This window comes from Homo sapiens, chromosome 1, assembly GCF_000001405.40.
Source record: "Homo sapiens chromosome 1, GRCh38.p14 Primary Assembly".
Taxonomy (NCBI): Eukaryota; Metazoa; Chordata; class Mammalia; order Primates; family Hominidae; genus Homo; species Homo sapiens.
In genome coordinates this window covers 201,008,020-201,023,936 of record NC_000001.11, presented here as the reverse complement: position 1 = coordinate 201,023,936, position 15,917 = coordinate 201,008,020, and the positions used below count along the sequence as shown (strand labels likewise).

Sequence of the window (15,917 nt, the reverse complement as noted above, 5' to 3'; positions counted from 1 at the left end):
CACCCCTACTCCCACCCCTACCCCCACCCCCACCCTTCAATCCCGCCCCCTACCCCCAGCCACCCCGTGGCCGCGAGCCAAGAGGTCCCTTTAAAGGCGCGAGTCCCGCCCCCACTGCTCATTAGGGCTTTCGATTGGCGGCTCCTGGGCGGGGCGGGGCCCGGCCTGGGCTCGGGGCTGGCTCGGGGCGGGCTCGGGGCCGGATCGGCCCCCGCCCCCTTTGTTCGCGCTGCGGCGGGAGGTGGCTGCCGGGTGGGAGGTGTGTGCGCGTGTGCCGCGCCGTAGGGAGCGGCGGGTCGCGCCGCCGGCTGTCAGCTAGCTCCGCGCCGCCGCCCGATGGCGCGAGGAGGCGCGCGGGCCCAGCCCCGGGGGGCCGGCCGCGGGTGAGCCCCTCGGCCTGCCGCCCGCGAGCATGTCACCTCCAGCCGCCGCCGCCGCAGCCTCCGCCAGCCGCGCCCGCGCCCCCGCCTCCCGCAGCCGCAGCCGCTGCCTCGGGCATTGGCCCCCAGACCCCCGCCTCTGATCCACGCCCAGACCCTAGCTCCAGAGGGCCATGGCCGGCCAGGGGGACTGCTGCGTCAAGGTGGCCGTCAGGTAGGGACCCGGGGCGGGGAAGGGGGCGCGCGGAGAAGCCTCGGGCTTTGTCTCGCGTGGGCTTTGGGCGGGGGGCGCGAGCACCGCTTGGGCTGGAGCCTGCACTCCCGGAGGAGGGGCCGGCGTGGGACGGGATGGAGGGCGCCGCGCGCTGGCCAGTCTGCCGCAGGGGAGCGGCGACCCCGCCGACTACTGGAAGGTGGCTTTGTTTGGGTGGTAATTTTGGGCCCCTCTTGGGAGCCCTTAATGATCAGAAAATCGAATAAACAAGGAAATCCGGTATTTCACACCCAGCTCTGGCCCAGGCCGGAGCGTCTGTGCGTTTCCTCTTCGCCTCCCCACGAGGCTGCTGTCTCATACGGGGATACCAGAGAGGGAAATTTCCCCTCATCCATGCGAGTCAGCTAGTTATGTGCTCTTGGTCCAGCTAGCAAAGGCAGCACACCCACCCTGGGAGCCAGATCTGCAGACAAAGATCGGGTGCGGGGACCAACGGAAAAGCTGGGATGATGCCTTGGCCTTCTGTGGGAAGTCAATGGCTTTGGGGGAGAATCCTACCAGTCCTGTCCCAAGAGGAGATGGGCCTAGGAAGGGAGGAAGAGGTGTATCTGAGGTGCTTCTCTCTGAGAGGGCAGGAGGGTGTGATGCAGATGCCCCATCCTCAGGCACTCAGATAAAATTGAGCAGGGGAGGGTTGCCTAGACTTATCTGGGGTTCCATTCTCAACAGCTCCGGGACTTGAGCCGGCAGAAATGAGACAGGGAGAGGACATGGCTGGGTGGGTTCTATTGGGAGGGGTACACAAAGGTGCAGGAGCAGGAAATGCTGTGAAATTGAGCCATCTGTGTTCTTTGTGCTGGGTGGAGATGCTTCACACCTCACCACTTCTCCCAGTTTTTGCTTTGGGTTTTTCTCTTTGAGAGGGGTGTCTTGGCGGCAGAGTGCCAATCTGGAGCTGCTCACCAAGGTAGGGATGTGGCAAGAACATCTATCTCTGCCCCAGCCCTGTATGATGGAGGGGGCGGGGGATTGTCCAGGTCTAGGGTAGGTCTCTCAGGTCTCTAGATCCCTTGGGTCATATGTGACCCAGATTCCAGGGGTCCTAGGAGGTTGCTCCTAGACAGAGTCAGAGATGGCAATGAAAAAGCTTTCTTCTTCCTGCCCCAGGGCAGATGCCCCTTGCCACGGCCACCTGGCCAGGCCTCTGCAGCCCAAAGAGGAGCTGACACTGATCAGTGCTTGGGTGAAGGGAAGGAGATTGAGGCACCCCCACCCATGCACCCTAGGCAGCACTCAAGAATCACTTGAGCACAGCTTTCCTGGCCCTGAGCAGCCAGAGACAAAGAGGAGCCCTGCAGGTGCCTGGTGGGCTGACTGGGGCGGGGCCAGGCTGCTGCTGGGGCTGACATTGCAGCAGGATCTTGTGGAGGTCGAGGGAGGGGTGCATGGCTGGGGGGTGGGAGTGAGAAATGTAAATATGGCATCTGCAGCAGATTGGGAGAGTCCGAGAACACCATAAAAGGGAAATGAAGCTCTGGCCCCCACCCATTGTGAATGAGGGCTGGGAAGGAAGGGGCTTGGGGGTGCCCTTTCCACAGGGGGTTTCCTTTAGATTCCATCTTGCTGGAGAGAGCTAAACAAAGGCCCCCTACCTCTGTTCAGGTCTCCAGGCTGGACTGGGGCTGAAAAGATGTGGGACTCCCACCCGGGGAGCCTCATGGGATTGGCACAGTGAGGAGAAGCTGATGTTCTCTTCCCACTGCCACCTCTAGAAGCTTCCCGGGACCCTTTCTGCAGAGAAGGGATCATGCCTGCCCTCTGCACCCAGTTCAGGACCATGTGTGTCATCTCTGGTTCCCAGTCAGATTGCCCTAAGTGGGGTCTGGGTGCCCCCACGCCTTGCCTTTCAGTTGCTGATCTGGATTGGGGGTGGGGCATTTGAGCATCAGAAGTCAGGCTTTCAGGGTCTCCGGGAAGGTAAGGGCCCCGCCCACTCCTCCCCTCCCACCCCAGCATGAGCGCCCAGCCCCGGCACACGCCAGACCTCAATGGGCAGCCGGCCGTGTACAGCAGACAATGCCTGGACAGAACCCAGTTTCTAATCAGAGAGCTTAGGACTGAGCTGGGGCTGGGCTGGGCTGGGAAGGAGAGCAGATGGTACCAGTGATGGGCTGTAGGGGGAGTTTTCCTTGTTTTTAGATCCTCTTCTACCCATCCTCCCCCGCAGCACCCCCAGAAATCACTTCTCTCACCTGAAAGACTGGGTGGTGGGCTGCACTACAGTAGACCATTTATGGGAAGGGCAAGGCTTGTCCAGGGCCTAGTCCAGCCCCAGGGCTCACTACCTCCTGCCAGGTTCAGCTGTCTTTCTGACTTTCTGGAAGTCCTTTCTTGAATCCAACTGAAGTGCCTTCTGAATTTCCATGAGAATAACATAGCGAGCCTGGAGTCCAGCTCTTCAGACAGGGAAGGCCAGGAATGAGACAGGTGTGGTCTGATTGTGTGTGTGTGTGTGTGTGTGTGTGTGTGTGTGTAGAGGAGAGAGGTCCCAGGGCTATTAGACTAGGTGAGAAGTGCCAGGCCTAAGGCTCTTGGCCCTGCAATCTGTTTGGGATGAAGAGATCGAAGCTGGCTGGCTGTGAAACGCTTCAGTGAAGGCCTGGGCTCCTGGAGAGCCGGAGGAGGAAACTTTCAGGACCTGGGGCTCAGGGTAAGGGAAGAAAGTTCAGGGGTGAGCAGACCCCAAAAGCCCCACCTTGTGGCCTCCCCAGCTAGATGGAATCTGGCCCATCTGTCCCTGAACCCAGGCTAGTCGGCTTTGCACCAAGGGATTCCCAGGCTGGCCTCTCCAGCCTGCCCTGTGATCCCTTTATCCATTAATCCCCTTGTACTGTAAAGATTCTCAGCTTCCTGGGCTGGACTAGAACTGGCAGTCACCTGGGGGAGGAGGTGTGTAGCAAGGCTAGAGAGAGGTGGGGCGGAGCTGTGACCTGCCCCAGGCTGCAGAGATATAGGCCTGACAAATGGGGCGAGAAAGGGGTAGCTGTTAAGAAATGCAAGTTGGCAAAGTTGAAATTGGGGAAGGAAGCTAAGTCACATGGCAAATTTGTTTAAGACCCTTTCAAGTCCCCAGCTCTGAGCCCCCACCATGAGGGGAGACCTCAGTGTTGCCTAGCCCCCTCCCCTCTTATCTCTGCCTGGCTTCCCTAAGCTTCCTTCCTTTAGTCTGCTTGGCGGTGCTTGGCCAGCCCAGCATCCATCTGTTGATACTACAGGGTTAAGTAGGGGATAGGTAGGGGTTTGGGGGGGATCCAAGGGACCCAAGGGACAATGTTAGATTGCACCCCAGCCCTCTCCCATTTGGGTTCTCTAGCTGCAGTTATTTCCCTAGTTCTAGGCTACTCTGAAATCTTGGTCAATGACTGTCTGAATTTTGAACCAAGAGCAGTGGTGGCTTGGGAGAGAAAGACTGAAGAAGACAGAAGAAACTGTGGGGGAATGGGTATTTGGGGTGCCTTCCGAGTCCCAAAGCCAGTCAATGCCAATCAATGCCACCTGTGTCCAGTTTACAGATCTCAGAAACTGAGGCCCATACAGGGCCTCATGTGGGCTGTGTGGAGACCTGAGAATCTTGGTGGTGGCCTCCTGCTGCAGAAATAGGGTTTATGTCATCATAAGGAAGTGGAGTGTAGTAACCACAGGCCCCGGAAACCTCCCCCTCCACCACCCAGCCTGCCTGCCTGATTGGATCTCAGCTTTTGAAAACCTCCAAGTGGAGGTGAGGCGGGGCCCAGGCCTGGGCCAGGGAGGTGGCAGAGGTGATATGTGCCTGGCATGCTTATTTTTGCAACCCTGGGGGCAAAGGGCAGGGCAGGAACTGATGCAATTCATCCACTGGCTTCGTCATGGGGCACCTTCCCTGTTTGTCTTTTGTGGGCCTCAGTTTTACCCACTGGAAAATGGGAACTGCTGTGTTCTGGTTTGTTCATTTGTGAAGAGCAGTGGCTTGGAGGAAGACGGACATAAAATCTTTGGAGGGAACAAAATGCAGAGTAGATTCCTGAGGAATTGAATATAAATAAAATGTTTTTTTAAAAAAAATGGGTCCTAGGCCAGGCGCAGTGGCTCATGACTGTGATCCCAGCACTTTGGGAGGCTGAGGCAGGTGGATCACAAGGTCAGGAGTTCAAGACCAGCCTGACCAATATGGTGAAGCTCCATCTCTACTAAAAATACAAAAATTAGACGGACATGGTGGCGCATGCCTGTAGTCCCAGCTACTCAGGAGGCTGAGACAGGAGAATCACTTGAACCTGGGAGGCGGAGGTTGCAGTGAGCTGAGATCGCACCACTGCACTCCAGCCTGGGTGACTAAGCAAGAATCTTTCTCAAAAATAAAATAAAATAAAATGGGCCCTAATGTAAGTGTACCTAAGAGATGTCTCTGTAGTTTAAGCTTTAGTGAACTATTTAGTAAATTGAATTCACCTCCAGTCCTTTGATTAATATATTAATTTAGAGCAGAATGCATGGTGTGGTGGAGAGGAGTATGAACCAGGAGGTGGCTAAGCACTATAATGTATTGAACACTTACTCTGTGCCTACAGCATCCCATTCAGCTGGCTAGGTGATTGATGTTATTCCCATCATATAGATGCACAAACACAGGTGGCAAATGGAGGAGGCTGGATTTGAACCCAGGGTATTCTCAGTTGTGAACACATGCTCTTCATGCAACTCTAAGCTGCCTCCTAATTGAGGTGCTAATTAGCTGTGTTCTTGAAGTCTCTATGCCTCAGTTTCTTCAAATGCTTTACTACACACAGTGGCCGTGAACATGAATGTGGGAAAGTGAAAATGGAAAGGCACATGGTGCTGTGCAGATGTGTGGCAGGGCTGAGGCTGTCCAGATTCTCCTGTATGGGATTGCTTAGCAGCATGGGGCTGCCTGGCACCACCATGGTCCTAGCTCCTAAATCCGTGCTGTCATCGTTTGTGTTTGGGGAGCTTCTCCAGCCACATTCTCCCTTTCTTAGATCACTGCAGCCATCCCTGGCATGTGTCTTCCTGCCTGAATTCCACCTTGGCACTCTCTCAGGAAGGATATTCTGGGGGCAGCCAAGTCTTTTGCTGGCCCCCCACCTCACACACACCAAAGGGCGGAACCCCATGTGTGCTAGGTCTCCTAGCCTTTCATTTTACCCTCTAGAAAGTATTGAGAACATTGAGGAGGAAAGCAATGTCTTCTGTGCCCCTCCCTCTTAGAACAGCCAGAGGGGCACTGAGAGGGCCCTGGGCTGGGTGGGGGTCAGAGGTTGCTTCCCTGCCATGAGGGAAGCTGGACTGGAACGGCTCTTCCTTGGCCCCAGAGATCCACCCACCTCAATCCCTATGTGAAGCTCCAGGGCAGGCGGCAGCAGTGTTGGCTGCAGTACCCTGTTTCTGGAGGACTTTCTCTTTCACCTCCAGCTGCTCTGGGGTGTGGAAAGGAGGTCATGCTGCCATCCCATCCCCAAATGCCTGAGTGTCTATCCCTCTGCTTTCCTGAGGTGAAGCCCCCTGTCCTTTATGAAGGCTGGGCTGGTCCCACCTGAGGCTGACTTAAGGTGCACCCTGGAGAGCTGTCCTGCATGCAGTGTGGGCAGGGGGCCAGGGCCGGTGTGGTGGGGAGAGGCTTGCTGCCCTCCACAGCCAGCCTTCTGTTGCTCTGCATTCCTCAGCAGGGGAGCATCCCCAGGGCCCAGTCCCCACTGGCCATTCCCCACCAGATGCAGATGCCAATACCGTCACAGCTCTGGGCTCTGGGCGAAGCCTGACTCTGCAGCGTCTCCTGTCTCTGGGGAGGTCATGGGAAACCCCTGCCAGATGCCCTGAGATGGGGGTGGGACAGGGAGAGTGGCGCTGCAGCACAGCTGAGCAGTACTTCCCTGGGCTGGGTTTACCCTCTTCCCAGGCCCCAGAGATGGAGGAGTCCGACCCTGGCCCAGGAAGTTCCTGGCTCCTGCTCACAGCCAGGCTTGTGTGGCCAATGGCAGGCTGGGGATATATCCAACTCAGGACAGGGACTGGCCCCTTCTTTCAGCTCCTCCTGCACATCCCTGCTCCCTGGCATTTCACCCCACTCTCCTTGCTGGCCCGATTCCTCTGCACGGCTGAGATCCTGATGCCCTGGAGGGCCATAGACAACAGGACTCTCAAGGTGCCTCATGGCAGGCACCCCCTCCCCTGTTAGCCTGCCTGACCCTTAGCGTTACTCAGAAGCCAGTGGCCAAGACCCTAGTAAGGTCAAGGACACTCAAGAGGAGGGGGTGGGGTCAGAGTCCTGAACCCCAAGCATCCCAAGCTGACACCCCAAGGCCTCCTGTAGGTTTTCCTGGAGTATCACACCCAGGACAGGAAAGTGATTAGGGGCAAAAATCAGGCAGAGAGAATTGACAGACTGCTTGCACCATGCCGGCCAAGGCCTCCTAAACCCATGCTCTTTGGCTCCATAATACAAAGCCTTCTTGTTTGGGGGTTCAGAGTCCTGAGGGCAGTCTCAGGAGGGCTGGCCTGGGGAAGGGTCTGAGAGGCCAGGAGAGGGACAAATGGGAGGGCAACAAGACCCTCTGGCTGTCACAGAGCTCTGATGGCACTGCCCCCAATAATACTGGGCTCTCCCCACACCTTACCCCTGCAGCTAAAAGGGCAAGCACCCCAAATTGGATCTTGCCACCCTGTTTTATAGAAGACTGGTCTCTATGGGAAGATGCTTTGTCTGGGCTGTCAGCTAAAAGCCCCCGGGTGTCTGGGAGCCAGACTCCCCTGAGAGCAGGGATTTTGCTTCCAGCCGCCTTCCCCAGAGCTGGCAGGCTGCCATGGGGAGGAGGAGAGGAGGCTCATTAAAGTGGGGGTGTAGACGTCCTCTTTCTGCCACAGAGGAAAGCCGCCTTCCTCTGACAGGGAAGCAGCCTCCTGGGTTCCCGACTCCGTACTTCTCCCTGCTCCAGGCTTCAGCTTTCTTAAGCATGAGACAGGGAAAACGCTTTCCCAGCAGACAGCTTGTGGCACTGCTGGCAGCTGTCCGTAGGATCAGTCCGGGAGATTCTCTGAAGGGATCGTTTTTCTCCAAGCCAAGCTATTTCCCACCCTGGTGCAGAGCTGCTTGGTGAATGCTTCAGGATTGGGCACAGGCAGGTTTGGTTTGAATTTCATCTCCACCATTACAAATTGTGTGACTTTGAGCTTGTTAAATTTCACCTGCTGAGCCTTAGTAACATGGGGCACATATCCCCAGCTTCACAGGGTTGTCTTAACACATTTCATGTGTTCGTGTACATAAAGGAGCTTGGCACATAGGCTCTTAAAAAGTACTAGGTAGTATGTGTCCTCATCAGATAAGTCCTAGGTGGTGAAGAACACGTAGAACAAGGCAAGAGGGATATCAATGACGAATGATTTCTGAGAAAGAAGTCTGCACAGACCCCTCCAGCCTCTCCTCTCCCAGGCTTAATCATCTTTGCAGGCAGGAAGTTCTTTTTGCTAGCTTATCTAAATCCCTCCTGCTACAGCTGAGTTCCCTTTTGATCTTGCCCTCTCACTGATGAGGAAGAGCTGGTGCCTGGTAAGTCACCACATGGCTAAGTGACCCCTGTGTGCCAGGCAGACTAGCCATCACCGGGCTTATCTCTGTGTCCCCTCCATACACTCACTCATCCGCCACAGAGGATACAGCAGCCTGGCTCTGCTCTGCCCCACTGCCCAGGCTGAGCCAGGCATGCCAATTGGAGGCTGGGCACAAGCAGAGATCATGGAATCAGGGCAGACATTGCTTTTCCCCTTAGGCTTGCTGACTTTGCAGTCCCTCCCTAGGCTGTCTCACCAGCTTCTAGGAGCTCCTTTTCAAGATTCCAGAAAGGCATCAGGGGTCTTATAGCAGAAAAGAGCAGATATGCTTTTAGCCCCCCTGGGGCTTTTTCTGAAGGGACTAACATTTTGGCCATCTGAAAGGCGATTCTAGTCCAGCTGTCTGGTTCTTCTCAAAGCCTTTGAGGTAGGGAAGAGGGTGTCTGCCAGCCTAAAATCCCTAAAGTGCAAATTACACACAAGTGGGCAGCTGCGAGCATGCCAGTTCTCCCCAGATTTCCCCTGGATTGAATCTTCAGGGCTGATGGCTAATAAAGGTGAAAACCTTTTTGCATATTAGCTATGTGACCTTGAGCCGAGTTATCGGTTTCTCTCTGAGCTCTCATTTGTAAATTAAGGGCAAAAACACCCACCTTAGAACTAAATGATATAATGTAATGACCTAACATGTGCAAAGCACCCTAGATAGTGTCTATGAGAGGCAGTCTTGGCTCTATAAATGTGTTGGTGGTGACTAATTGAGGAAGTTTAGTAAGCCAAGTGTGATGGTGTTACCATTACTAGCAAGGAAAAGGCATCAGGAATCACAGATCATGCACCATATTTGTAAGAAATTCTTGGATTCTGGTTAGCTGTTTTAATACCATAGCCTGTGACCTCTCGTCAGTGAGAAGACAGACCCTTCAAGTGGAAAGAGCCTGGGACTGCACCAATGGGGACCTCAGTGTAAAGATTTGGAGGCAGCTTAGTTAGGAACTAAGGGAGGGACCCTAGCCAGCTGATTGGGTGGGACTGACTTCACCTAAGAAGCTGAGCCAACCCCTAGGAGTCCAAGGTCACTGGGCAGAGCTCCTGGGAGGGCTGATTGGTGGGCTTTGTGTGATGTCATTAAGGACCAGGTTGGGGATGAGGCCCGGCTAGGGCCATCCTCCCCCTCCTAAGCCCGCGGGAGAGGGTGCGGGCTCCCAGCACGTGCCCAGATGTGCCCAGTCGGTACCCTTTGCAGTTTTCTCTCCTTGGCAGTCTCTCAGCATACCCCTGGGCTGCCTCCTCCCTGTCTCCTCTGTCCTCCCCTTCCGCCCTGTCCTCCTGGCTCCCCTAAGAGCCGAGGATCCGCTGAGCTCAGCTCTTCCTGCAGCTCTGTGCTCCAGGCTCGCAGCCTTTGTCCCGCTGCCACCGCAGGCACCCAGCGGGTCAGGGGCAGGGGGTGGGGTCAGCCTGGGAGGATAGGGGCTCCCCAGCCGCCCGCATGTCCCTGGCCTCCGCGTGCGCGTTTCTCCGGGGGTGGAGGACGGCTTCCCACATCACACCCGCTCCTGCTCAATTGTGAACAGAGGAAGCTCAGCAACTTCGCTGCCTGTGCCAGATCCTGACTCTGAAAAGCTCCGGGCCCTTTCTCCTCGCTCTCGCGCCCGCTCTACCCGCCGCTCAGCCTCCGGGTTGCCAAGTGGCAAATAGGCCCGGCTCTGTTCTGGGAGATTCCGGGGGCCTTTCTGAGTGGGGCTGTCCAGCCGGCCCTCCCTCCTGGCAGAACCTTGAGAAGGGATGGACGGAAGATTGGAGGGGTGGGGCCTGGAGTGAGATGACCTCCAGGTACCCTGGACAGAAATGACACTAGATGTTTGGGCCGCAAAACTTTACTGACAGAAACAGGCAGCTGGCCCGTGGGCCACAATTTGCTAATTTGACTTTTAAAATATTGCACTAAGTTGTAATTTATCTTGATTACTGAGGTTTTTCCTTGCCTCCTTAAATTTTGTACTGAGGGTCAATGCCTCACCCTAGTCCTGGCTCTGGTCCACAGCCTCTAGGACCTGTATTTTAGTTGGAAGACCCTAGAGGCCACATGCAGTGGCTCATGCCTGTAATCCCAGCACTTTGTGAGGCCAAGGCAGGAGGATCACTTAAGCCCAGGAGTTTGAGACAAGCCTGGGCAACATAGTGAGACCCTGTCTCTGCAAAAACGTTTTAAAAAGGAAGACCTTAGAGATCCTTGACCCCCCTCCCATGCCCCCAGGGAGGAAAAGGACTGTTAGATGGTGCCCATCCTTGCCACACTGCTTCTTCCTTCTGCTTATCTGGGGCCAAGTAGGCCACTGTCACTTTGAGGGCAGCCCACAGAAGTGACCTCACCAAGGGTGGGGCCGGGAGAAGAGGCTGCTGGAGGGATGGGCAATGGAGTTCTTAGAAAGTTGAAAGCAGGAACAGACCTTCTAGGTAACCTAGAAGGAAGCAGTGGCTCGTAAACCACAAGAGAGCCAGGGCAGAGGCTTGGCAAGGACCCTGGTCTCATGTCTCCCAGCCCTCTTGTCTCCTACCTGTGGGGCGTCAGTTTGAATTTGCCACTAGGCAGGGTGTGGTAAAGAGTGAGCCCAGGATGACTGAGACAGTGTCTGCCACCGCCAAACTGTGAGCCCTCAAAGGCAGGGCAAGCCTGATGCCCAGCCCTGAGCATATGTGAACAGACATGCAGGACTCCTTCTAGAGAGCCCCCATGGCTCTGATGGAGGTGGTGTGGGATGAATTTTATTTAGTGATTTTAGGATTAAGAGTTTTCAGCTGGGCGTGGTAGCTCACACCTATAATGCCATTTTGGGAGGCCGAGGTGGGAGAATCGCTTGAGCTCAGGAGTTCGAGACAGGCCTGGGCAACATGGCAAAACGTTGTCTCTACAAAAAATATAAAAATTAGATGGGCATGATGGTGCGTGCCTGTTGTCCCAGCTACTTGGGAGGCTGAGGTGGGAGGATCACCTGAGTCCAGGAGGCTGAGGCTGCATTGAGCCATGATTGCACCACTGGATTCCACCCTGGGGCAACAAGGTGAGACTTTGTCTCAAAAACATACATACATACATACATACATAGAGTTTTCTGACAGAAAGCAGCTTGAGGAATGGAAGGGCATTCAGTCAGCCAGATCAGGAGTTGATACCCAACTTCACTGTATTTACTGTGTGTGTGGCTTAACCACTTCAAGCCTCAACCTTCCTTGCTGAAGAATGGGGATTTAAATCCCTAGGTCATAGCATCACTTAAGCAAGGTAACCTGTGGAGGTGCCTGAGCCAGCGCTAGCACATGGAGAGCGTCCCTGACATCTTAGCTTTCCTTTGCTTCCATTTCCATTTATTCATTCAGTCAGTCCAACAGTCTCTCCCTCTTCCAGGTAAGTTGCTTGGGGAATTGGTGACTCAACCAGGGTCCATGCCCCCCTGTCTCCCAGCCAGTATCAGTTTCTCTGGGTGACACTGCTCAGGCATGCTCACCTGCACCCTGGCAAAGCAGTCTGGTGCTAAGAGTGGACCAGCATTGGGCTGGACGTCTCTTTCTGACCACAAAGACCCTCATCTCAGGATGTGTTGGGCCAAAAAAGGGCCCCAGGGTGAATGCCCAACTGACCACGCAACTCCTGGACCCTAAAACCCTGGGGTCTCCTCCTCTATATCCTCTCCCCCAGACTGTTCTGCCCACTGTCTTGATCCTGGAAGGCAGGCTCCCCAGGTGGTCCGGGGGCTGATTGCTGAAGCAGAAGCTGCCCCTCTCATTGAAGGGCTCTGACAAGCAGGGCTGTTGCTCCCCCTCCCCTGCTCCACTGTCTCCAGGGATGATGATTCGATTTTCTCCAATCATCAGCATTGCCATCTGCCTACAGTAATTAAATGGTATTTGAACTGAATCCAGAAATCCCACTTCAGGCAGCCACGTGGTAGGGAAGCTGTCTTCAGGAACTGGTGCTAGCCAGCAGAGCTGGAGGGTCCTCAGAGGCTGCCCAGGCCAGGCACTTGGTTTACCTAGGAATACCTGGATGCTCTGAGAGGAAGTGCTTAGCCTTGGGTCCCAAGAGCCCAGGGGCAGAGCCAGGTCTAAAAGACAGTTTCCTGTTCAGTACCTGTGTGCAATGCCACGCTCCTCCTTCTAAGGTTGCTCTTGCTCTCTCTCCCTGCATATATGAGATGTTCTTTCCCCCTGGCACTCTGAACCCTGGTCTTTAGAGACGGTGTAGCATAAGACCATTGAAAGGGCAGTGCATGCAGACTGCATAGGTTCAAGCCCTGGCTCTGCTCCTGACTGTCTGTGACCTGTGACTCTGGCTGTGTGCCATCTCAGCTTCTTCATCCATACACGAGGGTCATAATCGTCACCTCCCAGTGTTGTGAGGACCAAGAGTTAATCCATGGTAGTGTTTAGATGCTGCCTGGCATAGAGTGAGTGCTCAGTGCATGTCTGCTGCCCTTATTAGCAGTAGAGGTAGAAGTAGAGGTAGGAGCCTTGCTGACCCTGAGCTCTTACTGGAGACTCAAGTTTCTGGTCTGGAGGTCCAGAAGGATGAGCAAGAATCAGCCATTCTCTTCCCAGGCAGAAGCCAATTCAGTTGGGAGACGAAGAAGCTGGGCTGCCATTCCAATTTGGGCGAGACAGCTGGATAAATGTGGTGACCTCCTTTGGGCTTCCATCCCTTTTAGGGGAGAACCACTGACCTATAAGAACCTGTTCACACCCCGGAAACACTTCTGAAGAAGGCCCAGACTCCCATCTGTGGGTAGGAACTGAGCCTGGTGTTGCTCACCCCCAACCCCTCCCCGCTGGGCTTTCCCCACCTCCCCAGTCCCCTTTAACTCCCCTTTAACTCCCTTGCCGTGGAAGTGCAGGCAATAGGCTCAGGTGAGCACCTTTCCCAGCCTACAGCTCTGAGTGGGCCTTGGGGGCTGGGGCAGCTGGGGACAGAGACAGGGTGGCGACTTGGAGGCCCTAGACTCTGTGACCAGGCGCCTCTGGGCCCAGGATGGGTGCTGGCCTGGCCCCTGGCATTGTTTCTTCTCTTGGTGAGTGTTGGCTTAGGGAGAGGAGGCCTGACAAGCAGCTCATTGTAAGTGCCTGCTGATGGGCTGGCTTGTGTGAGCCCATGGGCATGAGAGCCTAACCCCCAGCCCCTTTTACTTTAGGGAGTTGGGGTGGGGGTGGTGCTTTCCGCCAATCCCTGTACACGCATGCTTGCTGACTCCTGCTTGGTTGCCATGGGAACCATGTCGTGGTGATGGCTGCTTGGGAGAGAAAGGAAGGGGTGGCTGGATGGAGATAGTTGTGTCCATGGCTGGCTTCTCAGTCCTGATGCCGCTTTTCTTCCTCTTTACAGGGAAGCCTGCCAGAATCTGGGTTGGGAGCGCACCCCAGGCTGGCCTGGCGTCCTTTCTAGAGGTCCCTGCCCTTCACAAGGGAACTTGGGACTTGACCTGGTCAGCCCCAGCTATGCAGGTCTGCCCTCCCCCGCCCAACTCCTGGAAAGGAAGCAGAGCTCCAGCCTGAGAATGTCTACCAGGCTCTGGCATCTGGGAAGGGGGCTCCTGGTCTGGCGTCAGGGAGGGGAGCTCCCGGCCTCCTGCTTGCAGCCCCCATGGGCATTGGCAGAGGCTCTGGCCTCCTCTAGAACTTAGTCCTGGCTCTGGGAATGTGGCCCAGAGCTGTGGGAGCATCCAGTTCCTTCTCTTCCCCGCCCTGGCCCTGTGCTTTGCCTCCCCAGCAGTGGACAAGCCGCCTTCTCTCCCCTGACGAGATGCTGATTTCTAGGGCTTCTGGTCCAATCAGGAGTACGTGCTTTTATGTCAGACAGACCTGGACATGGCGCCATCACTTTCCATTATACACCCTTGGGCAGGGTCATTTAAACTCTCTCAGCTTCAGTTTTCTCATCTGTAAAATTAGGCAAATAATAGGTACCTCACAAGTTTATAGTGAAGAATGCGTGAATTAATTTAAGGAAAGTACTCTGAACACAGATCTGATATATACTGAATGCTCAATAAATGTTAACAACTGCTGTTTTGATGATGTTGATACTGTTATTACTATTGTATTACAAAAGTTGCCCATGTCCTCTGGGGTCACCTAAGCTTCCTTCCTTTTCCTCTGGCTCATGGGGGAAGTGGCAGCTTGGCAGGCAGTGTGAGGGAGGGGCCTGTGGCAGCCCCCTTCTAGCTGGGCCTGACCCAGGGCTCTCTCCATCATGGGCAGGATCCGGCCCCAGCTGTCGAAGGAGAAGATTGAGGGCTGTCACATCTGTACCTCTGTTACCCCGGGAGAGCCCCAGGTCCTGCTGGGGAAGGACAAGGCCTTCACCTATGACTTTGTCTTCGACCTGGACACCTGGCAAGAACAGATCTATTCCACCTGTGTGAGCAAGCTCATCGAGGGCTGCTTCGAGGGCTATAATGCCACGGTGCTGGCCTATGGGCAGGTAAGCCATCTTCACGCCCACCTATGGCGGCTCCAGCCTTGGTCTCCCTGCATCCAATGGAGAGAAAGCTCCACCTTCAGAGCAGCTGAAACATAGCCTCAGGGTTTTGTCTATTGTCTAAGGAGGCCGTTGCACCGCTGGTTAGCAGAGGGAGGGCTGTCAGTGATTTCCCCAGAGTGTGGCTTCAGGACCAAGAAAGCAGCAGGGGAACCGGGCTGGGAGGTAGATGAGCTAAGGGGATTTGGCCCAGGTACAGGGCTTGCTGGTGCCCCCAAAGGGTGCAGGGTTACACCCTCCTATCTTTGCCAATGCAGACGGGGGCCGGGAAGACGTACACCATGGGCACTGGCTTTGACATGGCAACGTCGGAGGAGGAGCAGGGCATCATCCCGAGGGCCATCGCACACCTCTTTGGGGGCATTGCCGAGCGCAAGCGCCGGGCACAGGAGCAGGGCGTGGCTGGACCTGAGTTCAAAGTCAGCGCCCAGTTTCTGGAGGTACTGTGGCCCCATAGGGTGGGCAGGTGGGAGGCTTGGTGGACAACAGGACCATGGAAGCCGGGCCTTCCTCCAGTGCAGTGGAATGAGTCCTGGGAACCATGGGGGCATCTCCAGGTGATGAGTTCCCTGCTATTGAAAGAATCCAAGCAAGGGCTGGAGGACTACTTGGTGGGACACTCAAAAGGGGTTCCTGCATCAGATGGAGCTTGAGTTGATGACTGTATGATCCCTTCACACCCTGACGTGTTCTAGCTCTGACACTGATTAGCCTTGTGACCTTGGGCTAGTCATTTACCACACTGAGCCTCATCTGCAAAATGGGGTGGTACCTGTTTCCTTAGGGTTTTGTGAGAACCCTGGCTCTCTCCCTTCCTTCTGGCCTTCTCTGGGTTCCCCCTCAGCCTCAGGGCATCCTATCCTGCCCCTTTCTGGCTCAGATGCTTCCTGGCCCCCTGAGTCTTCTCTGACCCCAGGGCAGAAAGGTCCTCTAGGAAAGGTCTTTCTGTGCACCTGGCCCTTCCTGTCTCTGGGAGAATATCAGGCCCAGACTGTGGCAGCCAGGGAGGGGCTTTTAGTGGGGAGCAGGGGGTCTCTGTGCTCTTGACCATTGGGCCTATGCTGAGCCCCCACTCAGTAAGGGCACTTATCCCATAAACCCTGCTGCTCTGATTGTGTCCAGGTTGCCTTCTGAGGGAAGCATGTGGCTTTGGCCCTCTCCAGGCCTTCCCCAACCCCAGCCCCTGCCT

At 55.5% G+C, this 15,917-nt stretch overlaps 1 protein-coding gene across 5 annotated transcripts in view, besides 8 other annotated features; it reads left to right on the top strand.

Moving 5' to 3' along the window:
* Positions 7-366: a silencer, noted in NCBI's record as "silent region_1685". NCBI's record gives its function as "represses an Ori minimal core promoter by ATAC-STARR-seq in GM12878 lymphoblastoid cells {active_cell/tissue: GM12878}" and the evidence as "EXISTENCE:reporter gene assay evidence [ECO:0000049][PMID:35858748]".
* Positions 223-15,917, top strand: part of KIF21B (kinesin family member 21B) — a 54,325-nt gene continuing 38,630 nt past the window's right edge. For all 5 annotated transcript variants that reach the window (NM_001252103.2, NM_017596.4, NM_001252102.2 and 2 more), the window contains exons 1-3: positions 223-594; positions 14,449-14,671; positions 14,986-15,168. In NM_001252103.2, the coding sequence (NP_001239032.1) occupies positions 554-594; positions 14,449-14,671; positions 14,986-15,168 (447 nt within the window). In that variant the 5' untranslated portion in view covers positions 223-553. The remainder of the gene's footprint in view (positions 595-14,448; positions 14,672-14,985; positions 15,169-15,917) is intronic.
* Positions 767-816: a silencer, noted in NCBI's record as "silent region_1684". NCBI's record gives its function as "represses an Ori minimal core promoter by ATAC-STARR-seq in GM12878 lymphoblastoid cells {active_cell/tissue: GM12878}" and the evidence as "EXISTENCE:reporter gene assay evidence [ECO:0000049][PMID:35858748]".
* Positions 1,421-2,028: an enhancer, noted in NCBI's record as "H3K4me1 hESC enhancer chr1:200991037-200991644 (GRCh37/hg19 assembly coordinates)". NCBI's record gives its function as "activates a minimal SCP1, AML or CMV promoter by ChIP-STARR-seq in primed H9 embryonic stem cells {active_cell/tissue: H9 hESC(primed)}" and the evidence as "EXISTENCE:reporter gene assay evidence [ECO:0000049][PMID:30033119]".
* Positions 2,337-2,466: an enhancer, noted in NCBI's record as "active region_2307". NCBI's record gives its function as "activates an Ori minimal core promoter by ATAC-STARR-seq in GM12878 lymphoblastoid cells {active_cell/tissue: GM12878}" and the evidence as "EXISTENCE:reporter gene assay evidence [ECO:0000049][PMID:35858748]".
* Positions 2,697-2,846: a silencer, noted in NCBI's record as "silent region_1683". NCBI's record gives its function as "represses an Ori minimal core promoter by ATAC-STARR-seq in GM12878 lymphoblastoid cells {active_cell/tissue: GM12878}" and the evidence as "EXISTENCE:reporter gene assay evidence [ECO:0000049][PMID:35858748]".
* Positions 3,997-4,096: an enhancer, noted in NCBI's record as "active region_2306". NCBI's record gives its function as "activates an Ori minimal core promoter by ATAC-STARR-seq in GM12878 lymphoblastoid cells {active_cell/tissue: GM12878}" and the evidence as "EXISTENCE:reporter gene assay evidence [ECO:0000049][PMID:35858748]".
* Positions 4,202-4,496: an enhancer, noted in NCBI's record as "tiled region #10908; HepG2 Activating DNase matched - State 8:EnhW, and K562 Activating non-DNase unmatched - State 5:Enh". NCBI's record gives its function as "activates a minimal TATA promoter and a strong SV40 promoter by Sharpr-MPRA in HepG2 and K562 cells {active_cell/tissue: HepG2 | K562}" and the evidence as "EXISTENCE:reporter gene assay evidence [ECO:0000049][PMID:27701403]".
* Positions 6,843-7,390: an enhancer, noted in NCBI's record as "H3K4me1 hESC enhancer chr1:200985675-200986222 (GRCh37/hg19 assembly coordinates)". NCBI's record gives its function as "activates a minimal SCP1, AML or CMV promoter by ChIP-STARR-seq in naive H9 embryonic stem cells {active_cell/tissue: H9 hESC(naive)}" and the evidence as "EXISTENCE:reporter gene assay evidence [ECO:0000049][PMID:30033119]".